The sequence below is a fragment of the Homo sapiens genome, chromosome 6 (assembly GCF_000001405.40).
Source record: "Homo sapiens chromosome 6, GRCh38.p14 Primary Assembly".
Lineage (NCBI taxonomy): Eukaryota > Metazoa > Chordata > Mammalia > Primates > Hominidae > Homo > Homo sapiens.
In genome coordinates, this window is record NC_000006.12 from 24,150,054 (window position 1) to 24,158,954 (window position 8,901).

The window sequence follows — 8,901 nt, forward strand, 5'->3', positions numbered from 1 at the left end:
CCTTGTCTTTCATCTTTACATATGAAAGTACAACCTGAGTCATCAGACATCTGTGGAAAATGAGCACGTTGAAGGAGGTGGTATATACACAGGGAATAATAGACTCAGTGGGAAACATAAGGACTTCAGAAATCACAGAACTCTAAAAAGAATCTAATCAGTCTTCAAGAAGAAATTACACCCATAAGATAAAAATAGAATACAATGAAAAAGAACATCAAGTAGTTCAAAATAACAAACAACTAAAAGAATAAGTTGAAAGCATTTCCTGGAAAGTAAAATAATCCCTCATTTTAAAAATGAAAAACATGAGACAATTGGTAAAGACATACAAGTTCAATCAAGGGGAAAAAGATAACAGAAAACAATAATTGAGACGAAATTATCAGTAAAATAACAGAAAAAAAATTTCCAAAGATATAGGATACAAAAATCTTCAGACTGAAAATGCCTGCTGAAGACTGGGTGTGGTGACTCGCACCTGTAATCCCAGCATTTTGGGAGGCTGAGGTGGGCAGATTACTTGAGGTCAGGAGTTCGAGACTAGCCTGGACAACACGGTGAAACAGTCTCCACAAAAATACAAAAATTAACCAGGCATGTGGCGTGAGTCTGTAATCCCCAGCCGCTCGGGAGGCTGAGGCAGGAGAATCGCTTGGACCCAGGAATGGAGGTTGCAGTGAGCAGAGTTTGCCCCACTGCACTCCAGGCTGGTTGCCAGAGTGAGACTCTGTCAAAAACGAACGAACGAACGAGTGAACGCAAGAAAGAAAGAAAGAAAGAAAGAAAGAAAGAAAGAAAGAAAGAAAGAAAGAAAGAAAGAAAGAAAGAGAAAGAGAGAGACAAAGAAAGAAAGAGAAAGAAAGAAAGAAAAAGAAAGAAAGAAAAGAAAGGAAGGAAGGAAGAGAGAGAGAGAAAGAGAGAGAGAAAGAAAGGAAGGAAGGGAGAGAAAAGAAAGAGAAAAGAAAGGAAGGAAGGAAGGAAAGAGAGAGAGAGAAAGGAAGGAAGGAAGGAAAGAGCCTGCTGCATATTCAGCAATATGAATGGTTGAAAAGAAAATCAGGCATGTTTTTGTGAAATTTTTGGACACAAAAGATGAAAGGATCCAAGAAGTATCCCAGAGAACAGCAGCCCACCTACAAAATGATAAAAGTCAGACTGGGGAAAGAGCAGGTATGATCTCTGCAAAAGATAGTAAGCAAGGTAACTGATTCTACAGAAAATACATGTTCCTCTTATCGACAAGAAAAGAGCAAAGCAATAGAAACTCTGGGAAGAAAATTTTTTAATAAACTGCACAAAGAAATGATGGTTGTGACATGATAGGGAATAATTGATAGAGCATAAGAAAAGTGAAGCCACTGGGGACATGGATGAAGCTGGAAACCATCATTCTCAGCAAACTACCGCAAGGACAAAAAACCAAACACCGCATGTTCTCACTCATAGGCAGGAATTGAACAATGAGAACACATGGACACAAGAAGGGGAACATCACACACGAGACTGCTGTGGGGTGGGCGGAAGGGGGAGGGACAGCATTAGGAGATATACCTAATGCTAAATGACGAGTTAATGGGAGCAGCACACCAACATGGCACATGTATATATATGTAACAAACCTGCACGTTGTGCACATGTACCATAGAACTTAACCTATAATTATAAAAAAAAAAAAAAAAAAGAAAGTGAAGCCACTGGAAACTTGACCTTCCCACTAGACACACATTCTATTTCTGTAGAACAAAACCTGGGACTATTGAACCCACAGAGAAAAAAACAGAATCTTGTCACTTCAATAGTTTTGCAGTGATGATCATTACAAAGTCAAAATAATGCAAGCTTTTCTTACTTGTTTTCAACTTTCAGAATCAAACTATAGCCAAAAGTCTAAATTATGATTGTAAAATGAACTGTATGTGTGATAAATCTGATGATATGAAAATGAAGGTAGTGCTAGCAAAATTCAGAAAACAAAATAAAAAAAAATAAGAGGAGATAAAAGTAGGGACACTAATAGCCTCATCTGGTTTAGTGGAGTCAAGAGTACTGTCTTAGTCTATTTGGGCTGCAGTAACAAAATACTATAGATTGGGTGGCTTATGAAAAACAGACATTTGTTTCTCACAGTTCTAGAGGCTGGGAAGTCCAAGATACATCAAGAGCAGATTCAGTGTCTGGTGAGGGCTGCTCTCTGCCTCATCCATGGTGCTTTCTGGCTGTGTCCTCACTTGGTGGAAGGGGGCACATCTGGTTTCTTTAGCCTCCTATAAGGGCACAAATCTCATTCATAAGGGCTCCACCCTCATGCCCCAGTCACCTCCCAAAGGCCTCGCCTCCTAATACTATCACAGTAGGGGTTAGGTCTCAACATGTGAATTTTGTGGGTATACAAACAATCAATCTGTAGCAGTAGCTGGCTGAAGCTTATAGAAATAAATAACGACTTAAGTTTATAATTTACAACTGTAAAGATAACTCAATGAACTAATTAAAAATAAAACATAACAAACAATGGAAAGAGAAGAGAGAATAAAATGAGAGGTAGGGAAAGTAAATTTAACCGCCATCTTTAATTGTAAGAAATTAGGCTGGGTGAGGTGGCTCACGCCTATAATCCCAGCACTTTGGAAGGTCGAGGCAGGTTTATCACTTGAGCTCAAGAGTTTGAGGACAGCCTGGGCAACATGGAAAAATCCTGTCTCTACTTAAAGAAAAAAAAAATACAAAAATTAGCTGGATGTGGTGGTACATGCCTGTGGTTCCAGCTACTCAGGAGGCTGAGGCAGGAGGATCACTTGAGCCAGGTCGAGGCTGCAGTGAGCCGAGGTCACACCACTGCACTCCAGCCTGGGCAACAGAGCCAGACCCTGTCTCAAAAAAAGATAAATTATTATCTCCATTAATAAATCAAGAAATAGTAAATATAGTATTTGAAATTATGGAAGAAGCCACTAGAAGAATTTCAAACAGTAAATGTTAAAAGAGGTTGCCTCTGAGGGGCTGGGGGAAGCCAGGGATAAGGCAGGATGATTTTTACTCACGTAGTGAAGACTTAAGACCGTCCTAGTCACAGCCCCGGTCCCTGGAGTTCTCAAACAGACTTTAAACTAATTTCTATTGTTTAGATGCTACAAAAAAAAAAGGACACAAGCATTAACAGATCCTTAAAACAAAATGATTGATTCTAGTTTAAGGTTCTGGGAAAGCCTCAAAGGAAGTGATATTTGTGTCTTGAAATATGAGTAGAAGTTAACCAGAATAATCTTGCCTTCATGAGGGATTTGTTCTTTTTTGTGGGAGGTTGCACGTCAGAGGTAGTAGATGATGGGAAGAAAGAGAGAAGAGCTTTCCAGGGAGAGGCAACAGCATGTGCAAACACACAGATCCAAGACTGAGTGAGGCACGTTGAAAAATTGTAAGAAGCCTGTCCTAGCTGAAGCAGCCCATGAGCCCTGGGGTGAGTGTCTAGAGATGGCAAGGCCAACAAGCCCTGTCACCAAGCCGCACACCTCCAGGAGGCACCATTTACAGTGACTACAATGTAAACAACACCTCCTAGAGCTGTGTAGCAGGACTATACTGGGGGAGCAGTCTGTGTAGTTGCAGAGGGTTAGGTTTGCTACAGAAGGCCAAGATCAGACCAGAGGTGATGGGAGACTTGAGGATCGAAGACAAGAGCTGAGAGCAGCCAGCATGGGGAGAGCAGCAGAGACTGAATCAGAAATGAATGCAAAGGGGGCAGAGGAGGGTCCTTGTTCTGTGCCCCAACCCTTAAGGTGTGTTAGCTTTCTCTCCAAGTCCCTGTCTCTACAACATCACCAACTTCAGAATCAGAGGAATCGTTTCCTTTGCCTTCTGAGAAATGGAAAATGTCAACAAGAAATGTTGGGCTTTTGTCATAATGGGACCTCTAACAAATGTTACCCTGTATCTTGCCCCTACACCAATTTTCTATCTGCTCTAGGAAAAAAGGTGAGGTGGGAGAGCCTACCGTCTGTATGTTGCTAGTCAGCCTCTTAAGAGTACTGAATGATGAAACAGAACTCAGAAATGGAACAATGCGGAGAAAATAATTGAAATAGCTAAGATGTGTTGAGAGCTTCCTCTTTGCCAAGTAATGTGACAAATATCATTATGCATTTTTGCATTTAATATAATTTATCCTTGAAAGGATTCTAAGGATGACTACAGTTACTTTCTCCATTTTACAGATAAGGAAATCTGGGCTCAGAGAGATGAAGTGAGTCACCCAAGGTGGTCATGCAGCCAGAAAGTGATTCAACTAGTGTTTAAACCCAGGTAGTCTGACTCAAAGCATTCCCTCCCTGTGAACAGATTCTGTCAGAAAGATTGAGAAAGTAGCTGCAACTCATCTCTGTTTAATATGTCCCAGATTTAACATATCTTTTAGCATAGGGCTCTGCATTTTTACATAGGATGCAAAAAAAATGGGCAAGAAATAATATATATATTATATATATATATTTATTTTACATTTATTATATATGCAATAAAACCACTACATGGGAATTCAGTCTAAACCATTGCAGGCAATAAAAGTAAGATTCCACCGAACTGGAGTGCTGAGCTAATGAAAGATTGGTCCAGAATGCTATTTTTGTCTTCCCAGAAATTTTATAAGAACAAATCTGTAATCCGCAAGCTCCTTGAAGGTTGGTACCATGACTTACTCATATTTCTCCCCAACACCTAGCACAGCATCTAATTCACAGGAGAAGCTCAATGAATGTTTGCTGAATTGAGGTGTTTGAGTTGAAGAAACTGCAATAATTGTTCTTAGTAAACAGACCTCCTTGTGACCTGCACCAATTCATATGATACTGGTAAGAATCATATATTCTCATGCAGCGTGTGAGTGTCTTACATGCTTTGACCTGTCTTAAAATGCATTCACTGGTATTCCTGGAAAGTGTAAGGTGTTAATCTCCCACAAGAGATGTGTGCATTTTTATTTATTTATTTATTTATTTATTGAGACAGAGTCTTGCTCTATTGCCCAGGCTGGAATGCAGTGCCATGATCTTGGCTCACTGCAACCTCCGCCTCCTGGGCTCAAGCAATTCTCCTGTCTCAGCCTCCTGAATAACTGGGACTACAGGCATCCGCCACCAAGCCCAGCTAATTTTTGTATTTTTAGTAGAGACAGAGTTTCACCATATTGGTAAGGCTGGTCTCAAACTCCTGATCTCAGGTGATCCTACCACCTTGGCCTCCCAAAGTGCTGGGATTATAGGCGTGAGCCACCGTGCCCGGCCGATGTGTGCATTTTTAACTATGTGAGTACAGCTCAACTCTGATTGAGGGAGGCAGGATAGCCCAGTGGTTAAGCATGCAAGCTCCGGAGTCAGACTATGCATTCAAGTTTTGGCTCTATCATTTTGCAGACTTGCAAAGGTAGAGCATTGGCCAAATCACGACAACTCTCTGGGCCTCAGTTTCCTCATCTATCAAGAATGATTAAAAATTTGTACCTACTGGGGTTGCTGTTGAGGATTAAATGAGTTAACACAGCTAAAGCAATCAGAGCAGTGACTTACACAGAGCTAGCACTTAATAAATGCTAATTGTTACTATCTGGGGCAAGGCCCATTTAAAACATACCTGTTTAAGGCTCCAATAGAGGCATAAGTCTCCCAGTTTGCCTGTGAACACATTTGCTTTCACCTCTACAGTCACCCCTACTGTCAGATCTGAAGTGATTTTGAACTCACCAGACAGGGCACTGACCTTTTCAACATCAAGTTTAATTAAGCCTAGTGAATAGCTAAAGTGTGATGTTTCATGTCTTTCCATGTAGTTCAGTGAGAAAAATTTATTAACTCATTAAAATGTCGTGCTAGTTATTTTCAGCCTTTCAGAATGACTGTGACTTCCAGCCAGCTATTTATCCCAGAAAAGACCCAGAATAGAATCTGACTTTATGAACTTCCTAGACCTGAATCTATGTTACCAGATCGTGTTGTTCCAACATTAGGGATCAAAAGCTTCAACGAATATGGTGGCTGATTTAGACTCACCTGCCTCGGGTGACATTCAAAAGGCTGCTGATGTGTCACGGTGAGGCTGCGCCAGGCTGGCACCAGAGCCTGCTTCTTCCTTCCATGGAGTGGAGCTGGCTGAAGAGGTTGGGCAATCCGGGTCCAAGGAGCTGAGTCTCTGCCGTGTATTGACTGTCTTGTTTCCTGCTTGACTTCCTTGTTTCCTGTCCCCACCTGCCTCACCCTAACTCTTCATTCAAGTTGCAAATGTATATTCTCCTCTGAGGAGGCTTGCTTTTGAGGAAGACAGTAGAAATTCCCCAAATTCCCTTTTCAGACCCATCCTGCAAAATATGCCTACCCTAGAGTGTAATAATCCGCACTTTTATTTTTGCTTACTCTTTCTAGTATTTTCTGGTTAAATTAGAAGCAGTAGAACATAGTGGCTAATAACATGAGCTGAGAAAGGGTGAATCTAGACTTTTCAATTTACTAGTTGTGTAACTTTAAACCAATTATTTACTCCATGCCTTACACACTTCATCAATAAAATGGAAGTAATGGTGTCTTCCTCACAGGGCTCTAGTGAATTTTTTTCTTAATCCATGTGAGGGCTTTAGAAGTATATCTATCAAGTAAAGAATCACATTCATACTGATATTTTTGTTCTTGCAACTATTTATTGTTCTTGCAGCTAGTTGTTGTCCTCGCCGTTTTTGTTACAATCCTCCTAGTGGGCAGGGACTCAGTCACTCACTCCTAGTGCCAAGCAGACATTCGTACTTAATAATGTTCTTTTGATAATGGCTAATAACGGGAATAAGAATGAGGGAAGAAGATGCCAAATAAGATCTAGGTTTTTAATAAATTAAGGGAGGCAAAAATGATTTCCCTAGCAGCCAAATTTCTAAATGCATTTTCACCATCATCTCCAGCTTCCTATTCGTTAATACAATTTCCTGCTTTCAAATATTGAGCACCAAACAGGAAATTAGTTTGAGGATGATGGTCTCCAGCCAAAGAAAGGAAAGCAATTTCCATGGCAAGTAACCAGACACTTTTTCTAGGATATCCTCGGAAACTGGATGTAACCACCATGGACCTCAAAGTAATCTCAGTGGACCTTAAAGTTTCACTCCTAGAAATGAAGGGCAAAATTGCACTTCCTCATCTGAATAACCCAAATGATCATCCAAATTTTATCTTCTACCCAGAGACTGCCTGTCAGAAATGCAAATGCAGAAGGACGTGACACTGCAGCTGGTGGAAAATGGGTGGCTTTCCGGTGGTGACCCCCTCTTTGTGTCAGGGTCACTTGTGCTCAGGAACAGCAAAGCCAGGATATGGAGCCTGCATTAGACCTGGTTTACTCTCTGGCAGCTGGAGGCATGATGCTCTACATGGCAGAGGGCCCAATAAACCTTTTATTGATGATGAAGACAATGTATAGATCCTCACACTAACATGATGCCCGAACAGGTATCTGGTTGCCCACTAGTATTTTACCAGAAGCCTAACACCTTGAGCACTTTATGGATGATGACAATCACAGATAGAAACTTTCCAATGTACCATTCACATCATCTGTGGCTATTCTATGTGGGCTGCATGGGATGGAATCAGCCATAGTTAAGACTCTAAGGTAGCCATGAAGACAAATTCCCCCAAATTTTACATGTAAACAGTTTTTATGTTCAGTGCTGTGAAGCTTACCAAAGCTAATGTCAAGATGATTACAGAGCACATAGAATGGGCTTGCTCCATCTTACTCTCATACACACACATACGCCATCATCAATGCCAATACCATTTCCCCTCTCTTTCTAAGGGACATCCTAAAAATTAATCAGCAGCTTTAGTTAAAAAAAAAAAAGTTATGAACCTAGAAGGTCAAGGTAATATAAGTACAGCAAGACTGAAAAGAGAGCTCTGAGCAGTATTTTTGTTAATAATGAAAAAGAACAAAGAAAGAAACTGTTCTGGCTCAAAAGTGGGTAGTAGAGAAGCAGAAAGAAGCCAGGGAAGGTTGCCAGGAGTTTCAAAAGAAGATGCCAAAAAACCAAGTAAGAAAAAAACAAGCTAATAATTATAATATCTCACAGCTGCTGAATGCTTACTTTGTGCTGAGTGCTGTACATACATTCGGCCTTAAATCCTCACAGGTGGACAAAGTAGCATATTATTATTATTTCTCTTTTACATAAGGAAGAAAACTGCAGCTCAGAGAGGTTGGAAAAGTTGCCTAAGTCACACAATAAGTGTCGAAGCCAAAACTAAAACCAAGTATCCCTGATGCTGCCTGTGTACTTAAGCACTAGAGACAAGGGAAGGGACCCGAGATTGAAGAGGAAGAGAGCCAAGGAGGTAGCAGGAGCTGGCAAGGCCAGAGTGGTCTGCGAACAAGGGATTCTGACTCAGGGAACCTCATAAAAAGTCAAGCTCGGACGGGCATGGTGGCTCATGCCTGTAATCTCAGCACTTTGGGAGGCCAAGGCGGGTGGATCACGAGGTCAGGAGTTTGAGACCAGCCTGGCCAACATGATGAAACCCCGTCTCTATTAAAAATACAAAAATTAGCCAGGCATGGTGGTGGGCACCTGTAATCCCAGCTACATGGGAGGCTGAGGCAGCAGAATTGCTTGAACCTGGGAGGTGGAGGTTGCAGCGAGCCGAGATTGTACCACTACGCTCCAATCTGAGCGGCAGAGTGAGACTCCGTCCCAAAAAAAAAAAAAAAAAAAAAAAAGTCAACCTCACCCTTGTCTGCTCATGGCATGTATACTACTTGAGTGTTCTTAGAAAGGAGCTGCCTAATGCTTAACCAGAGATGGCATGTCCAAATCCTACCCACACGCCTAGTCTCAGTTCAAATGCTACTTCTTCCACAACATCTTTGCTG